At 40.5% G+C, this 19,129-nt stretch overlaps 1 protein-coding gene across 6 annotated transcripts in view; it reads left to right on the top strand.

The window, feature by feature from the left end:
• Positions 1–15,000, top strand: part of EFL1 (elongation factor like GTPase 1) — a 132,502-nt gene extending 117,502 nt beyond the window's left edge. For all 6 annotated transcript variants that reach the window (NR_136410.2, NM_001040610.3, NM_001322844.2 and 3 more), the window contains 2 exons: positions 6,391–6,575; positions 14,672–15,000. Coding sequence is in view for 5 of the 6 variants with exons in the window: in NM_001040610.3 (NP_001035700.1) it covers positions 6,391–6,575; positions 14,672–14,860 (374 nt within the window). In the remaining variant the exon portion in view is untranslated. The remainder of the gene's footprint in view (positions 1–6,390; positions 6,576–14,671) is intronic.
• Positions 15,001–19,129: the final 4,129 nt, after the last annotated feature.

Genomic DNA, 19,129 nt, shown 5'->3' with positions numbered 1-19,129 from the left:
CTTCCCGGTTCAAGCTATTCTCCTGCCTCACCCTTCCTAGTAGCTGGGATTACAGGCATGTGCCACCACGCCCGGCTAATTTTATATTTTTAGTAGAGATGGGGTTTCTCCATGTTGGTCAGGCTGGTTTCAAACTCCCGACCTCAAGTTATCAACCCGCCTCGGCCTCCCAAAGTGCTGGTATTACAGACGTGAGCCACCGTGCCTGGCCTCGCTGTTTCCTTTTTTTTTTTTCTTTTTTGAGTTGGAGTCTTGCTCTGTTGCCCAGCTGGAGTACAGTGGCACGATCCTGGCTCACTGCAACCTCTGCTTCCCAGGTTCAAGCAATTCTCCTGCCTTAACTTCCAGAGTAGCTGGGACTACAGGTGCGCACCACCACGCCCAGCTAATTTTTGTATTTTTAGTAGAGACAGGGTTTCACCCTGTTGGCCAGGATGGTCTCCATCTCCTGACCTCATGATCCTCCCTCCTTGGCCTCCCAAAGTGCTGTGATTACAGGCATGAGCCACCCGCCTAGCCTTTAAACCTTTTCTTATTCTATACTTAGGGTTCTTTTTACATTTCCTCAGCATTTTGTAATTCAATTCAACAAAGATTTAATGAGCTGCATGTGCCAATACTGTGTTAAACGTGATTCCTGCTTTGAGACATAACTTAAGGTGACAAAGCTTAATTATATAAAGTAATTAGAAAGTAAAATACAATATTATTTAGTGCACAAACATGGTTTTCTAGGGAAGCTTTATGAGAAATTGGGATTAGCAAAATTTGAAACAGTAGGTCTCTTGAAAGTCATGGTACTTTGAAATGGGCTTTGATTGATGGAATAATTTTGTATTCAGCAACTTAGTATTAAGTTGGCTTTCTTTGTACCATAGCACATTGAAGACTACTATTAAGCCTAAAGTAAACTCATTTCTAGTTGGTTTTATAGGAACTGCTGTTCAGCATGACCTTCCTTTTTTTTTTTTGTTTTGGAGACAGGGTCTCACTCTGTCACCCAGGCTGGAGTACAGTGGCGCAAACATGACTCACTGCCACAGCCTCAACCTCCTAGGCTCAAAGCGCTCCTCCCACCTCAGCCTCCAGGAAGCACAGGCATGCCACCATTCCCTGCTAACTTTTTAATGTTTGTGGAGACGGAGTCTCACCATGTTGCCCAGGTTGGTCTCCAACAGCTTGACCTCTCAAATCCTGGACACTTGGTTGGTTTAACACAATTTGCATTTCAAGTCCTAGCCAGGCGTGCGAGCGTATGCCTATAGTCCCAGCTGCATGGCTGAGGCAGGAGATCGCTTGAGCCCAGGAATTCAAATCTAGCTGTGGGAACATAACAAGACCCTCTATCTAAAAAATAAAAAAAACTGGGGTCCTTGCCCAGTTATCTTGACTGTGTCACAGTGTTTGTTTCCAGCCAACTTCATGTCAACTTTGGATTTGATCATTGTGCCTTCTTTTTTAAGTCACTGATTATAATAGTAAGAGGTGCTAGCAGACTCACTAAGGACAACTTTCCACAGTGGGTTTGACCTGTTAACATCAATTATCTATAAACTTGTAGCTGATCTATCTATATAGTAGCAACCAGCCTACGTTCCCCACTGTGTCTGCAGCATGCTTTATCTCCTATTTGATTGAAGCCCATCTGTATCCTGTCAACCACGTTGGCCTGATTCAGCAGTCTTATAGCTCTGTGACAAAAGGAAGAGGTTAGTGTGACCTGGTGTATAAGAATAAGTACCTACCAATTTATTTGTATGTGTGTTTTTAATTAAAGTTAGTGCATAAGTGTTACCAACAATAACAAATCACAAGGTGAAAGAATGCTCTTTCTCCTTGGAATCCAACTTTATTTCCCATTTTCTTTTACAACCCTTGTCCATAATAGTACATTTTGCATAACTGTAACCTTATGATAGAAATAATGTAATATTTTGCTTTTTAGGTTTATTATTTATTTTATAGGCATGCTTTCATTTGGCTACTTAGAATTCATAATTTTCATTTTAACCTCTGCGTGTAATCTTATCAATAGGATATGATACAGTTTACTTATTATTCTGAAATTGGAAATTTGCATTGTTTCCTGATTGTTTACTGTTAAAGAAAACATTGCTGTGGACAACTATTCCCTTTCCTAAATTCTGAAAAAAACAACATACCTTTAATCACCAAACTTCTAGCTTTCAAGACTGTAGAATGTACAGGTTAATCTTAATATTATGGAAGAAGAAAATGTATATATGAGAATCCATAGGGCCATAAAAGAACAGATAATGTTCACCCAAATGGTAAAGAGACTTTTTTGAGCTTGGGTATTAGAGAAGACTTCATGGAACAAGTAATTTTTGAATGGGCCTTGAATGATGAAAAGGATTTGAATATAGGGTTGGACTAAGAGTATTCTAGGTTAAAGAAACTGTGAGCTTAGAGTTGGCAAAACCTCAAATGGTTTTGCCTGTGGACAGTGAGTGATATACCTTGGCTTGGAGAGGCTGTGCCCTGTGTACTCCAGAATCTGGCAGTTAGAGAAGCTGAAGGGGTGGGTTACTGCCTTGAATACAGGCTGAGATATTTATAGTGTAGTCATTAACAGTTGAGCACTGATCAATACTGTTTTAATTGATTAATCTTTTTGTTGCTGGTTTTTTCCTTGATGAATTCCTCTTCCCTGGTTCCTTTCATACAGTAGGGTACTCTGGTACCTCCTTCTGTCAATTCCTTCCTGCCTCCATCCCTCCCTCCCACAGGGTCCTGCCCAGTCACCCAGGCTGGAGTACAGTGGCACAATCATAGTCCACTGCAGCCTCCAACTCCTGAGCTCAGATGATCCTCCTGCCTTAGTCCCCCAAGTAGCTAGGACTGCAGTTGCACACCACTACACCTGGCTAATTTTTAAATTTTTTTAGAGACAGGGTCTTGTTTTGTTACCTAGGCTGGTCTCAAGCGTTCCTCCCACCTCTGCCTCCCAAAGTGCTAGTATTACAGTGATGAGCCGCTGTACTCAACCAACTCTGATCTTTATTTAAGTGACTGAACAAACAAGTGATCATGATGGAACAGATATCCAGTGGAAAGGGTATGAAAGTATTTGCAGTCAAGAGCCACATGATCAGAAATTCTTATTGATATGGCTGTGTTAATTTCTCAGTGATGACAATGGCACATTTAGGGTCTTTGAATGCATCCAAGCATTGAACACACCTATCATGAGAACCAAGTGTGTTTGGAAGGTTTTATAATAGTATTTTCCTATGCTTGGTGATCCATAACTATGCCCCAGTATCAACATATAGTTTTCATGGAATTAAAATTGAATGGATCAAAATTACATGTTAACTATATTCAGTTTCAATTACAATTATTGATCTAAGCCTGCTGGCATGACCCATGCAGCAGCAGTCAGGCAGCTTGTCCCCACTGGCCCCTTATTCGTGGTCTGTTTGCCCCACTTTCCTCATTCTTTTTTGCCCCTATTGTTTTATTGTTTTGTATTTACTTCCATAAACTACCTTCAAACGTTTCTTTTTTGTTTTTTTTTTTTTGGTTTTTTTTTTTGGAGACCGAGTCTCACTCTATTGCCCAGGTTGGAGTGCAGTGGCACGATCTCAGCTCACTGCAATCTCCACCTCCCAAGTTCTCCTCCAAGCGATTCTCCTGCCTCAGCCTCTGGAGTAGCTGGGATTATAGGCACACAGCACCATGCCCAACTAATTTTTGTAGTGTTAGTGGCGATGTGGAGACCATATTGGCCAGGCTGGTCTTGAACTCTTGACCTCAAGTGATCTGCCTGCCTTGGCCTCCCAGAGTGCTGGGATTATAGGCGTGAGCCACCGCTCTCCTGGCCCTTAAAACATTTCTGCGAATGAGATAGGGGAGTAAAGATTACTAGTTCACACATGTTAGGTGTTATGGTAAGATTTCTTTTCTATATATCTCAGACAAATAATATATAACTAAAAGGGATCACTAATGAAAATAATAATCATTCTGCTGTTTTGGGACCTTTTCAGACTATACTTGAAGTATTGTTTTTCATTTCCGGGTACCAAATACCAAGAGGGATGTAAATAAATCATAGTAGTTCAAGTAGGAGAGTGGCCACGATAAAACAGGAAATACAGGTCTAGTCACAGCAAGATTGGCCTGGAAAAGTGAACATGAGACAGCTGTCTTTGAGTAGCTTACAGGGTAATTTGTGGGAGAGGGATTAAACTTGTCCCATGTGATAAAAACTAGGACTGATGGTCAGAAACTTCAGGGGAACATATTTGGGACTCAAGAATTGTCAGCTGTTACAGTTATCCAAAGATGGAATGGGCTACCCTGGGAGAAAATGAGTTTTAGAGTATACAAGGAGAGCTTAAACAGCTACTTTAGTAGAACTTCTTGACCCTCAAGTTTCCTTTTACCCCACTGTTGTGTGATTCTGTAACTATGAGGTTTCTGGTATGAATGACGGGGGAAATAGTTGGAATGGGGAGAATGGAATTGCCTTTTGAAGTAGATAATATATTCTTAGACATGTTAAATTTGAAAGGAAGTTGGCTTCCACAGCAGAGATGCCCTGGCATCCATTGTAAAGTGGTATTGGAGATCCAAGGAGAGGCCTGGCTTAGAGATGGCCTTAGGAGTCCCAAGCATAAAATTAGTTAATTTAAACCACACAAATTATAAATTAGTTGTCTCGCTGAGTGGAGAGTTTGTTCAAAGAGTATGAAGCCTCAAAGAATACTCATAAGAAGAAGTTCAGGAGATACTGAAATAAAGAGAATGATGGTCAGAAGGCCAGGAGTGTAAGGAGAATAATACTAAGATTGGAGACAGTAGGCAGAGTAGACATTAATCAGTAGCTTCAAATACCACAGAGAAATCACAGAGAATGAAAATTGGGGGAAAAAAGCATTTAGGTTAGGAACATGAAAATTATTGTGAAATTTCAAGGAAGCAGTTTCCTGAAGCAACCAGGAGAGCTAGATGTTAAAGAAAGAGCACATAGTGAAGAAATGAGAAGCTACCTGTTTAAGATGTGAGGAAGCAAGGAAGGAGAGAATGTAGTAGCTAGCTGGGGAAGTAGACAAGAGGAAAGGGGGTGCCTTTCATTACGAATGGAGTGTTAATTTGTTTTTAAGCTAAACCTAAACATGGTGAAGGCTCATCAGAGATTTTAGTTTAGGTTTTTTCCTTGAGGCGTTGTGACACAATAGATTTTCTGCCATTTGTTTCCTATTTCCGTTCCTAATAACCGCCACTAGGGGGAAATCTGAATCAGAGAGAAAAGTTTGGAAGTCAGACATTTTGGCTTTGTGTCGTCAGTTTCTAGTTTAAAAAATAAATAAATAAAGGTAAGTGGGTAGCAGACACTCCAGACTCATCACCTTGGCAGTTAGGAGAGAAGGGTCCAGGACTCAATGGTGGTCAAAGGATACTTTAGCCCTGCTTAGCAGCAGTGTTGTAAATGTTTAAGGATAATATATGCAATAGATCACTTATGTAACTAAAATTATTTTTTAGGCAGCAGGTGAAAGAGAAGGCTTTAAAGAGAGTATCTGCTGGTTACAGCAAGTCCTTCATGATTGTCTGTGATTTTCAATGTATCTCTATTCTTTGCAGGGTCTGTTCTCCTTACTAGTTGAAAGGATACATTGCATACCCAGAGACACTCATACAGAACACCAGTCAGAGGGGAAGATGTTTCCCTCCTGAGTGTGAGGCAGAATTGTGCCTAAAGATGAATTGAAAGAGTCATCCAAGAGAATTTGCTAGTGGAATTCTTGTGCTGTGGCACTAGAAATTGTTACCAGACCTTAAAGATTCCAAACCTATCAGTTTTCAGGGGAATAAAACACTTAATACTCATACCACTTAAATATTACCAGTTTAAGAAAACTATGAACAAATATATATGTGTGTGGTTTTAATTTTTGGTATAAAAATGCCAGTTGCTTGCCTACTAAGCCCAAATAGCCTATGCCATCTTAATTATCATTGCCATGTCAATAAGGTCTCAAAATTATTCAAATATTTTAATATTTATGAAGCCCAGTCACTCATCTCATTGGATTTCAGACCCAAAGATAGCTTATAGGTGAAACTGCATTGAAAGGTCCTTTTACAAATCTTCTTCTCATGCTGTTTTGTGGAGTTTGTCTATGAGCAGTGTAGTTTGGGGTGATTTAACTTTTTGTTATTTTTTGTTTCCAATTTTTCTATAAATCTCATGCTTTTTAAATAAACACTTAAAAAGTGTTCCTTGCTTTTGTAAATCAACATTATTGAGAACAAATTTAATCATTTATGGATTGTTACAGAGTATATGGGTAATCATGTCTTGGTGTGGCTCAAGCCATATGATTGATCCATGATTTTAAAAGATTTATGGTTTTACAGGTCGAGTCTATGCTGTCTTGTCAAAGAGAGAAGGTCGGGTACTTCAAGAAGAAATGAAAGAAGGGACAGACATGTTCATCATCAAGGCTGTGCTGCCTGTTGCTGAAAGCTTTGGTTTTGCTGATGAAATCAGGAAGAGGACAAGTGGCCTGGCCAGCCCACAACTAGTATTCAGCCATTGGGAGGTAAAAATCCAAGTTCCCATTCATTCCTTCCTTCTCATCTATGGATACATTCCCTACAGAGGAGGCCAAGAGTAGCAAACAACACAGATCATGCCATTTGGCCTTCCTATGGCTCAACTCAGTCAAATGGACAGGAGAAAGCAAATGGCTTTTTCATCCAGATTGAATGAGCCTGAGATCATCTGTGGTTTATAATAAACACACACACACACACACACACACACACATACACTCTCTCTCTCTCTCTCTCATTTGTCCTTTTTATTCAATATAAAATTTAAGATGCTGAAAATTTAATCCTTTTTTCATCCAAATATATATTTTAGATTTTTAAAAGAAAATCACAGACCTTTTGAATGTGAAATTTTAAGAATATTTTCTTCTAGGGGAAAAAAAAATATCTCCAGTAATTAGAGGGGAACAGTTACACTTCTTGCAAGGGGTAGCTTTAAATTATTATGTACTGTATATTCTTCAGTCCCCATTATGGAGATTCAAGGTTTCTGTGGCTTTCAGGTGTTGTGGAATGAGAATGGAACGAAATGGCTACTCAGAACCCTTCATTGTCAGTGTAGGTAAAGGTAGGTGAAAAGGCAAACCTTATCTGTAATCAGAAAGGAAAACTTAACAGATCCACATTGCTGAGGGAGGAGAGAAGGAAAGATTGTGAACACATTGTTAAGTTAGAGAAAAAAGAATAACAAGTGGCAAAGATAAGGTCAGACCAGCTGTCCTGAACATATCTGTAAAGGAAAAGTAGACATTAACCAGCTAAGAAGAAGGACACTCAATCAGAAGGTGCCGCATGAGAAAAGGCTGGTAAAAACAAACTGCAGGGCATGTGCAAAAAACAATTTACTTTTCAAGAAAAAGCCTAAGGTCAGGAATCAAATTGTAAACTCAAGGATATAAGTAGAAAGATTGTTTTAAGAAAGCAGTTTTTGTTGTTATTGTTTACAGGGAATTGAAATAACTTCACATTATTCCCTTTTACCATGGAGGCTTGTAAGGTAATGGAAGAACCATTGACTTTGGAGTCAGAGAGTCCTGGTTTCAAATATTCTTCTATTTATTTGGACAAATCATGGACCCTCCCTGAGTTTTCTTCACCCCTAGGTCAAATATCTAACCTAGTTCCTGACATTGTGGCTGACCAGCCCTTGCTGATGCGAAGATTGTTTCCTTGTGGTTCGTTCTCTGAGTCTACACCACATTCATTTTGGCTTGCTCTCAGCGGTGTGGCATTCATTGCACAGGGCTTCACACAGATAATCCATGGTTTTTTTTTCTTAAACTCTATTTCAGCAGAACTCATGATTTAGCTTCAATGCTAAGCTGTTATCTTTCTCACTTTCTTTAGCCTAATGGGTCCATTTTTCCAGAACACTTTAAGAAGAGTTTAAATTTAGAAGAGAATGGAAAATGAGAATAATTGAGGGAGAATTTTCTTTTTAAAATGAAATTTATAATCAAGTGAATCAGTGAAGTAAAGAAGGGTGGCACTTCAGAAAAATTGACTTTGGACAGGGCAAATTTGATTTTAATTCAGCAAGTTCATATCATCTAAATTGATGCAAGTGAAGTTGCTAGCCCAGAGCACACCATTGTGTCTGCTTTTCCTTTAAAAAAAAAAAAAAATCACATTCTTAATGCTTGACAGAACCAAGGTTAATGCTATGATTTAGGTTACGTTTTTTTGGTCAGTACAAACTCTAGGTTTTAACAGTAATTTACTATGAATCTTTTCTTGACTTTTGCATATTTCTCTGAAAACTTAATGGTGTTTTGATGGCTTTGCTGGCTTATATCTGATGCGATATTGCTGAATTTCATTATGTAGAAAACAGTACCCCCCAAACATTTATTTTTTAATTCCTGTGCTTGTGGGTAGTAATTTCTCATTTATCCAAAATTCTAGCTTTTTAGTTTTGGTTTTGGTTTTTGGCATTCAACTTTTACATAAGAACACAAACCAAGTAAGAAATATAAGGGATGGGTTTTAAAAGGCAGTGCCTGAAAAATAGAACTATGTCTGTAGTGCAAATGTATTACTGATGGTTCTAATGAAAAAATCATTACAGCATCCTCTACCACAGGTTTTAGTGACCAGATGTGTGATTACAGAGCAATACAGCTAAATGATATTTAGAACCAGAGAGATTCAGTCCACTTCAACCTAATGACCTTGAGACGAAGAATGCTTTCTTCATTGGCGTTACTGTTGCTGCAAACTGCCTTCAGAATTCACAAGTCATGCTTCTGAATATCTTAGAGATGAGAAGTCATCCATCTCATGAAGATGGCCTTGATTAACACTTGTGCATAAAACTGGGTTATAGTATGTTTGATCAGAACAAAGAGGATGTAGGTTAAGTAATCACTGGGATTGTCTGTAAATGCAGATCCCAAATAGGCATTCAGAGCTGTTGTAATGGCATCATTATTGGAAGAATGATTCATTTGAATTCGTATATTCAATTTTTTGTTTTAAAATCTCATCATTTGACAGTCTTATCCTCAAAAGTGATTTTTATAAAGCTTTTTTTTTTAGAAAAATGTATAAAGTTCCCTTCATTTCTTAGTTGTCAGATATATTAGTTAGGAAGCAGGTAAGACTGCTCTAATAAAGGGATCCCAAAATATAGTGGCTCAAATAAGGCAGAGATTATTTCTCTTTTGAGTCTAAGGAGGCAGACTAGGGCTGACATGTGACTCACTGTGGTAGGAGCCCAGGCCCATTCTGGCTTGCTGCCTTTCTCAACACTTAGCTCCCACTGATTGTCCAAAGTGGCCGTTCTACCTCCCGCATCACATCTGCATTCCGGCCAATAAGAATAGGGATGAGGAAGAATAAGATATACTCCTTCCCTTTAAGGACACAAACTGAATCTTGCACACATCACTTCACCCTCATGCCAATGCCCAAAACCAGTCATCTGACCACATCTAACAAGGCCCCACCTAAGAAGGAGGCTGGGAAATGTAGTCTTTAGATCTATGGCCTATTGTCTGTTTTGATAAATAAAATTTGTTGGAATACAGCTGTACCCAATCATGTATGTATTTTCTATGGCTGCTTTTAAGCAGAGTAAAGTAGCTATGATAGAAATAATATATGGCCTGCAAAGTCTAAGATATTTACTGTCTGGCTCTTTATAGGAAAAGTATGCCCCCACCTTCGGACTCTAGGTGGCTATATGCCTACCTGAAATATCTATTACCAAAGAAAGGTAGAGAACGGATATTTAGGGACAACTAGTATAAAAACAGCAAGATTTTACCAAATAGGCAGTTTTTGTTACCTGAAAGCCTTGATGGTTGTCCGTCTCCTTTATCCTTCAGAAATTTAAAAAGAAAATCTTAAAATTGATCTTATACATGTAATACTTTTTTTAAAAAATATTACTTTCTGGCTTAGCTACATCTCGTTATTAAAAATAAGTCTCTTAAATAAATAACTTGAGAGAAAAATATTCTCAAGAAAAGTTTTGCCCCAGTTTTGTACCATCCTTCTGCCATGTCCTTGCCACCTGTCGTGGTCCTGTTCCCAAAAGCTTCAAATCTTTGAAATCTTAAAAACTACATTATAATTAAATGTCATTGATCTGATATATTTTGGCTGTCTTGGTTTTTCCCCCATAGTTAGGTTTAGAAATAACACAGTTGTTGAGATATGGCTTCTCACTCCAAGGCACTTCTTTTCATTTGTATTCTACCACACCATATAATTTACAATCAAGAGCTTTTGAGAGAAAGTGCTTCAAAAAATAGAGAAAATAAAATTACAGGCATTTTTCCATGAGGAAACCTTTGAAGTCAGCAATCTCATAATTTCTCTTTCTATGTTTTACCCTTCTATGAAAAAGGAAGAAAAGGAGCTAATAACAGACACAGAAAGAAAAAATATTACCAACCAGTGCTGTTGTACATGTATGTCAGCATAACCTCAAGATTCATCGCTTATTACTGAGATTACCCTGAGGGGTGGGCTAAAGTTCATACCGGGTGAAGTGATTACAATAGCACCAAACAAGCTTATTTTGGACATGGTATTTTCCACCTGCCAGCAGTAATCATCGTGAAAACTGGGCAGAAAATTGAAATGGAGCACCCAGAGCTTTTTCCTTCTAGGCTTTCTTTTCCCTTAATGCCTAGGGTAACAGTTTGCACTTGGGTGCCTTCTTATGATTAGAAAATGGCATCCCCTTCAGGCTGTTGAATTGCAAAAATACATTCTCACTCTAGGCCGATGAATTCTGGGTGAGGCAGTGAGGGAAAAAAAAAAAGCACCTTTTTCTTCAGTTTGATATCAAGCCCCTCTCTGTGGCCTGGAGGGTCCTTTCTGTAGAGCACAAGCTGGACAACCATAAAAGGGTAGCCTTGTCTTTGCTCCACTAAGGAAATTCAAAACCAGCCTCGAGCACTCGAGTGTTACTCCATCTCCCCTGTTCTCAGAGTTTGTTGGGTATGTTGAGGCAAGTGGCTTCAGGCTGTCCACACAGATGCAGGAGTAGTGAAGATGTCTTCATACAGTCATATGATATTGGGACTTTTAACATTCCATCCTTACAAATAGAAGAACCCAGGTATAAATGGTTCGAAATAAGCTGCCCAAGATCGCACAGCTAAGCAAGTAGGGAACTGGCATTGAAGGGAGACTGCCTGGCTCCAGAGCCAGTGCAGTTGACCCTCACACCACGTTCACTCTGGCCTCAGTGCCTGCTCCTGATTCAGTGAAGTGCCAACCCCCGACTCCTCACTCTCTGGGTTTGATTCCACACAGACTCACTTGGTTCTTCTCGCTCATTGCAGTCTCTCTGCCTGTTTCCTCGCATATGAGGAAACAGACACCACCCCTCTCACCCTGTCCTCCCACCAGCAAAGCAGAATAACCAATTCTGAAAACAGTTTGTGTTTCTTATGAATGTTGAGAATTTTACCTCCAGACAAAAGAGAATTATAACTTGTGGCCGGGTGTCTTAAAAAGAATTTGTTAAAAAAATTACAATAGTTTTTTTCCATAGGAAGTTACCAAAAAATATGTACAAGGAGGTCCTATGTGCCATTCACCCCTCCTTCCCCAATGTTAACATCTCTTACAGTACATTGACATTGATACACCCATAGCACTTGTTCAGGTTTCACCAGTTATAATAAATGCACTTGACTTAGCTAGTACCATTGTGCAATTTATGTTTGGATAAACTCAGTCTTCATGGCAGTCTGCAAACATGGCAAAGGGCAGGCTTTGGAGCCAGACAAATCTAGGATATGCCAGGTGCTTTACCATATGACTTTCATATAATATCTTCTTCAGTCTTCACAACAACCCTGTATCAGTTGATAGATTATGAGTGTTTTCAGCCGCAAGAACCATAATGCCAGAATAGTAATTGTTTAAGCAAGTAGGGCTGGTACCATGGCTCAGGGACACCATCAAAGATGCAGGCTCCCTTTCTTCTGCTCTGTATATTCATGGGAGTTTGTGTGTCTTTAGTGCTATAAAAGTGTATTACATATGTAGCTTTATGTAATCAAGATACAGAATTGTTCCATCACCACAGGCTCCCTCATGCTCCCCCTACATAGCTACACCTACCCTCACCCTGGGTGGGTGGCTTTTGACCAGTCAGGCTGTTTTGAGTGGCAACCACTTTCCCTCCCTTCCTCCTGCCCAGGCCCTGAGCCCATACTGACTCAGCCCTACTGGTATCGTGTTGACATTGTTTGCTGGTGAATGATCTGGAATGAGCCTTTCTATCCTAGGCCCAGTGGCTGGTGAATCAGAATTGAGTCTCTGGGACTGTTGTGCCCACAAAATTATAGCACAAACCCTCTGACCCAGAAGAACCCCCTCAGATGACCAAGTCCACAGGACTGAGCTTCCTCCCCACTCCTCCTTCTTAACTGCCGTTTCTCGTCTAAATTCCATCCATTCGCCCTTGTCTGCCACTCTGCCTACCCCCCCCCCCCCCCAATTCCTGGACCTTGTCTCCTTTTCTGCCCCTTGTTGCCCAACCTCTAACTGGGCTCCCACTTCGAGACGCTCCTTAGACTTGCTGTCACCCACCAGAGTTATTACTCTAGTGCTGATAATGCCTCTGTGCCCCCTGGCTGCTCTCACTTCTACTGTCTGCCTTTTCCTTCCGGGGACTCTTTTTTGAAAGGATATTTCTAGTTCTTTTGTTGAGTGTCCATGAGAGGTAATATGTTTTAAAGTCTGTCCAACAGAGGCTTTTTTTGGTTCGCTGATAATGGTTTATTTAACTAGATAAAGACGTGTAGGCTCACACTGAGGCTCCTTAGCACTCTGAAGGACTTCATTGTGTCCCAGCAACTGCTGTTGCTGATGCGAAGCGTCTCGTTGGTCTGATTCATGTTCTTCTCTAGATCTGGCTTTTCTCTCTGATTTTCTCTGTACCTGCCTCAGCACCAGGACACAGGCAGCTGCTTTGTTTCCAACCTTTGTTCAAGAGCAAGAAGCACAGTTGTGGCTCACACCTCCCATTCTATAGTGTCTAGTGGGTCAGAATCGAGCCTCAGGAGATGCAGGTGCCCACAGATTTCCAGCATTTCAACACTGTCACAAGGGGTGGATTATTTTATTATCTTGGTCCAGACTCAGTGAGGTTTTTCCATCTGAAGACTCTCATCCTGTTCTCTGTTTTTTGGTTTTAGAACTCCTGTTAGATATACCCTATACATACTTGATGGCTCTTGACTTTCCTTTGAGACTTTTTTTTTAATCTCCATCTCTCTGTGCCGTATTCTGTATTCAGGGAAATTTCTTTAAGTCTCTCTTTTTAAAAATAATGTACTGAGGTGAAATTCATACAACATAAAATTGAACTTTTTTTTTTCTTTTGAGACAGAGTTTCACTCTTGTTGCCCAGGCTGGAGTGCAATGGTGTGATCTTGGCTCACCACAACCTCCACCTCCTGGGTTCAAGAGATTCTCCTGCCTCAGCCTCCCAAGTAGCTGGGATTACAGGCATGCGCCATCAAGCCTGGCTAATTTTTTGTATTTTTAGTAGAGACAGGGTTTCTCCATGTTGGTCAGGCTGGTCTCAAACTCCTGACCTCAGATGATCCACCTGCCTCAGCCTCCCCCAAACTTGAACATTTTAAATAAACATTTTGCTGCATTTTTCCCATTCACAATGTCATGCACCCACCACCTCCAGAAAAAAAATTAAAAATTAGCTGGGCATGGTGGCATGCACCTGTAATCCTAGCTGCTTGGGAGGTCAAGGGAGGAGGATCACTTGAGCCCAGGAGATTGAGGCTACAGTGAGTATGATTGCACCACTGCCCTCCAGCCTGGGCAACAGAGCAGAACTCTGTCTCTTAAATAAAAAAATATATGTAATAATAATAAGAGTGTAGTTACATGTGTTGATCTTTGTTGAGGTTGAGGACAAAGGCAAAATATTGATGGCAAAGACATTAACATTCAGATATATCCTAGCAAAAATGAAAGCTTTTAAAAATTATATTATGAAAAATTAATAGTTTTCTTTCTTCCTTAGTGTTATGAACTGGCGCTAGGAGCAAAGAATAATAATGTATGTTACAAGTTTTGTTGAATCTACTTCCATTTGTTCACACCTCCCATGATTCTTCATACTTTTTTTTTTCTTTTTAAGTTGGAGCCTCACTCTGTCGCCCAGGCTGGAGTGCAGTGGCATGATCTCAGCTCACTGCAACTTCTGCCTCCCGAGTTCAAGTGATTCTTCTGCCTCAGCCTCCCTAGTAGCAGGGACTACAGGCACATGCCGCCCCACCCAGCTAATTTTTGTTGTTGTTGTTGTTGTTGTATTTTAGTAGAGACGGGGTTTCACCATGTTGTCCAGGCCGGTCTCGAACTTCTGAGCTCAGGCAATCCACCTGCCTTGGCTCCCAAAGTGCTAGGACTATAGGCGTGAGCCACCACACCCTGCCGATTCTTCATACTTATTACCATTCCTAGCAAGCTTAGCTGTTCATTGCCTAACTTTTTTTCATTAGCTAAGACTATATAAATTGGGGAGCTCAGTGAATAAGGTTTGAAATTAAAAATGCCTAACCTTGCACATTCTGTCATCTTCTTTTACAAGATCATTCCCAGTGACCCCTTCTGGGTGCCAACTACTGAGGAGGAATACTTGCACTTTGGGGAGAAGGCTGACTCTGAGAACCAAGCCCGGAAGTACATGAACGCAGTACGAAAGCGGAAGGGGCTTTATGTGGAAGAAAAGATTGTGGAGCATGCAGAAAAGCAGAGGACACTCAGCAAAAATAAGTAGCTACCTACTACTGGTGGATTCTTTTCCTTATAGTGAATTTAAAAGTATCATCAAGGGTTTAATATTGGGAAAATTTCTTTTTGCCACATTATCTCTGTTTATTCACTTTCAATAAAGTTGATCCATATAAATATTTTAAAGAGGATGTTAGAGAACATGTTTTCCAAGTGTGTTTTTAATTGGTTCTGGTTCAAGGCAAGAAGTTATAAATATTGCAGTGATGATTTATGACTGCCCTGTGTATAACCCCCAGCAGTAAGACGTGTGGTCAGGGCTACCCTCTTGGTGGTGGGGAGGTGATGTGCAGACCCACAGTGGGCAGTCTCCTCTGCACTGAGCGGCCACTCCGGGGCTCACACTGTCTCTGCCTGTCATCACAGTGTCATAATTCTGAGTACATCCTCCACATAAACATCATGTGTGAATTTCGGAGTGGAAACATTTCATATTTAATCAGTGAATCAGAGCATTTAACATTGTTTGGAGAGACCGCATACTTGAGAGAGCAGCTGCTTTTTAGTTAAACCAAGTCACTGTTACAGCTCATCCATCTTATGGTGTTGTCTAGCAAAACAGTATCATGTTCAATAGTTAGCCTGTAAATCTTCTGCTTTTACACCCACTCATAAATTTTATCATTCCTATTTAAATCAGTGTTAATGGGTGTTATCCCTGTACCTTTTTCTTTTTTTTTAAAAAAAGGTAAATTTCTATAATTTTATTTGCTATTTCCTTTTAGCCTTACTTAGCTAATGTGCATGAGGTTATGGCTTTATTGTAAATATTTTTTCTAAATCTCAGTTGCCTCCTTCAGGGTGATCTTCATTTAAGGAGCAAATGCAGTTCAGACAAAAATAGATTTTATATTTTTTGATGTTGCATAATAATTTTTATAGCCACTTAAAAGAAGGATTCCTTTTCATAGCATAAAATTATCAGACCAGACTTTGTTTTTGAAATACTTTAATGGGTTTTCTTAATAAACTAGGTCATTTTTAATACTAGTTGTAGACATTTTATCTCTAAATCTTCAGGGCCCTGGCATAGCTGGTCAAATCTAATTGGCCTAGACTTTGGGGAAAATGTGACTGGATAATTCACTGTCTGTTTAATTTCAACAGATAATAATATATGAGTTAGTTTAGGAGAGTTATATCATCTATTGGTTTATTTGAAAACTTTGATAACATAGGAAAAACTAGCACTTCGATTTATAGCATTTGTAAATAACATCATTCAAACTGCCAGATGTGCTATAAAATGTATACTTAGATCAGCACATTTTGCATTTAATAGAGAAAAGAGGCATAACCCAGAAAAAGTTGGAGAAAAAGTTGCACTTTCTGCAGTCTGTTGGGCCCTGACAGATGTGCCAGTGTGGGGGAAGTGACATGTCGAGTTGATAGATTGTCTGTCTTCCTTCTCCATGTTTGAGAGAGGTAATAATGAGCAGGAAAGTGGCCACAAAGAGGCAGACCAAGGGATAGAGCCAATCTACCATCTAAATAATCTACCTTATTGTGTAATTCATGACGAGACCTCAGTCATTGAAACCCTGTCCCCTTCTGTGACAGCATAGTAAGACTACGTTTGTACTGTGCCCAATGCCATGTCCAAACCCTAGCCTCTGTTTGTTGAATTCAGTAGAAGCCAAGCAAAATGTTGTCAGTCCACAAGTAGAAGTGAGAGTGTTCCTGTTCTTACAGAGGGGCTGGCTTTGTACACTCATTTATAGATAGGCTTCAGAGACAGTGAGGAAGGCTAGGTTGAGGAAGCCACAAAACCACGGCTCTCACTCCTGGAGAATTATTTGTATTGAGGTCCAGAGGCAGCTATCCTTCTGCTCAGGGGACAGGCATAGGCAACACCAACATAATGCCTTTTCCCAGACATCCTGGAGTCGGTGGGTGAGGGGAGGAGAGGCTGGGAAGGGCCTGGGCTCCAGCCCCCACTGGAGGATGAGCTGCAAGTAGCATGGAGACCATCACCATTGCCCTCTGATTGGGAGGCTGTGAAGAGCCTGTTTTCCTGTATCAGATTTTCCACAGACTGGAAGGGAAATTCCCTTCTATTGGGACTTTTGTGAAGAATGCCTGGCACCGGAGAGGGCAGTTCTTCTGCCTCAGCCTCCTGAGTAGCTGGGATTATAGGTGCGCGCCACCATGCCCAGCTAATTTTTTGTCTTTTTAGTAGAGACAAGGTTTTACCATGCTGTCCAGGCTGGTCTCGAACTCCAGGTGAGGGACTTTTTATATGTATTTGATCCTCACACTTGTTGTATGAAATGGGCAAGGAAATTCATTAGAGCCTGGCGAAAGTTAAGTTTACAGCCCACGGTCCCATTTTTCATTCCGTCATACCTCTTGGCAAGCTCTGCTGTAGTGCATCACACAAGGATTCCCATGATTATTGCCTGATACATGTTAGGATCAGAGAAGTTATCAGTAGATGCTGAATATTCACTATGGTAGAGGAGGACTTGGGGGCATCTTTATTTCTATTCTGCCTTGAACTTAGGTAAAGCTACCAGTGTCCAAGGTACAAAATCATTATCTGGACTGACTCAGTTTTATTGACCAGTAAGTTTAGAAAAATAATGGAATTCAGAAATTAGGTTAACCTTTGTACTTGGAGCTGAGAATAGGGACCTAGATGTAAAAGATCTCTTTTATTCTACCTTAGAACAGCCAAATAAGGCTCAGAGCTATGGTGAGCTTGTCCCAGGAGTCAAAGCCCTTCAGGTGAACAGATTATCAAATCTGGGAATTAGAAGGTCTTCTGTTGTCAAGTAGTCAAACTCTTCCTTTCTTATTAAGGCAAAGAACATTATACACTTTCTGAGCTAGAAAAAAATTCATTAAAATAAAAACAAGAATTTATTTATTTATTTATTTATTTATTGAGACAAGGTCTCTGTTGCCCAGGCTTATTAAGGCAAAGAACATTATACACTTGCTGAGCTAGAAAAAAAATTCATTAAAATAAAGACAAGAATTTGTTTGTTTGTTTGTTTGTTTATTGAGACAAGGTCTCACTCTGTCGCCCAGGCTAGAGGGCAGTGGTGCCATCACAGCTTACTGCAGCCTCGACCTCCCAGGCTCAAGTGATCCTCTCATCTCAGCCTCCCTAGTAGCTGGGACTACAGGCGTATGCCACCATGCCCGGCTAACTTTTATATTACTTGCAGAGACAGGGTTTTGCCATGTTTCCCAGGCTGGTCTCAAATGCCTGAGCTCAAGTGATCCGCCCACCTCAGCTTCCCAAAGTGCTGAGATTACGGGCATGAGCCACCACACCTGGCCAAAGACAGTAATTTAGATCAGGTTTTAAAAACAAGATTATGAATGTCAGCCTGAACGCATGAAACAGACCATGGAAGCACTAAGACCTTCTTTTGATCCTGTTTTATGTATACAGAACCTGCAACCCAGAGGGCATCTTCTAGTTTTAGGAATAAACAGTGGGAAGGTTTTCCACTCTGCAGCACATCTGTCTTTCAGGTCACAAGCAGAGCCATTTGCAGTAGCCTTTAGGGAGCCAAGGTAGCTCCTACCAGAGAAGAGGGGCGAGAAGGAGTGAGGGGGAGGAACAGAAATATAGGTTCCCCAGAAACACTAGAAAGGGCCTGGCCCTACCAACTTGGACATCCCTGGGCCAGAGGTGAGGCGCAGAGACTTGATCGTGAATAATGGGGATAGGATTTCTTACCAGCCACAGGTCCTCTGGGCCTTCTGGCCTTACTGAGGAAATTCCAGAGAGCCAAGCCATTGGATTCAGCCCCACAGGTCCTCCCTTGGTCTACCTCACCCTCACCACCCTCAAGGGCTGGGATTGTTTGGCTTGGGGAATTACATTTAGCCTGTGGGTTTTACACATCTCTGCCAGGTCTTTGGATCTGCCTATGCCTAAGATTATTTTGTATGATTCAAGTTCATGGCAAAAAGGCATAACAGCTCTAATTCTCCTGTCCCAGATTTCACTGTGATCTCATCGAAAGAATCAACCTTTAATGTGCAGTTTTAAATGCCTTTTTACCTCAGCTGCAGCTTCTACATTTTTGCAGAATCAATGATCTTGAATTTTTATTTATTAATTTACAAATTCCACTATTTTCAAATTGTAGAATTTTTTCCAAAGAATTATTTCTGTTGTCTTTTTGAGGAAAACATTCCAGCTGAGCCACAAAGCCCTGATGTTGTACTGTATAGCGATGGGATCAGGTACAAGGAAGCAAGAGTTGAGACGCCAGAGAGTCCTGGGTTCTGTCAC

Source organism: Homo sapiens, chromosome 15 (genome assembly GCF_000001405.40).
Source record: "Homo sapiens chromosome 15, GRCh38.p14 Primary Assembly".
NCBI lineage: Eukaryota > Metazoa > Chordata > Mammalia > Primates > Hominidae > Homo > Homo sapiens.
This window is presented reverse-complemented; position numbering and strand designations above follow the sequence as displayed.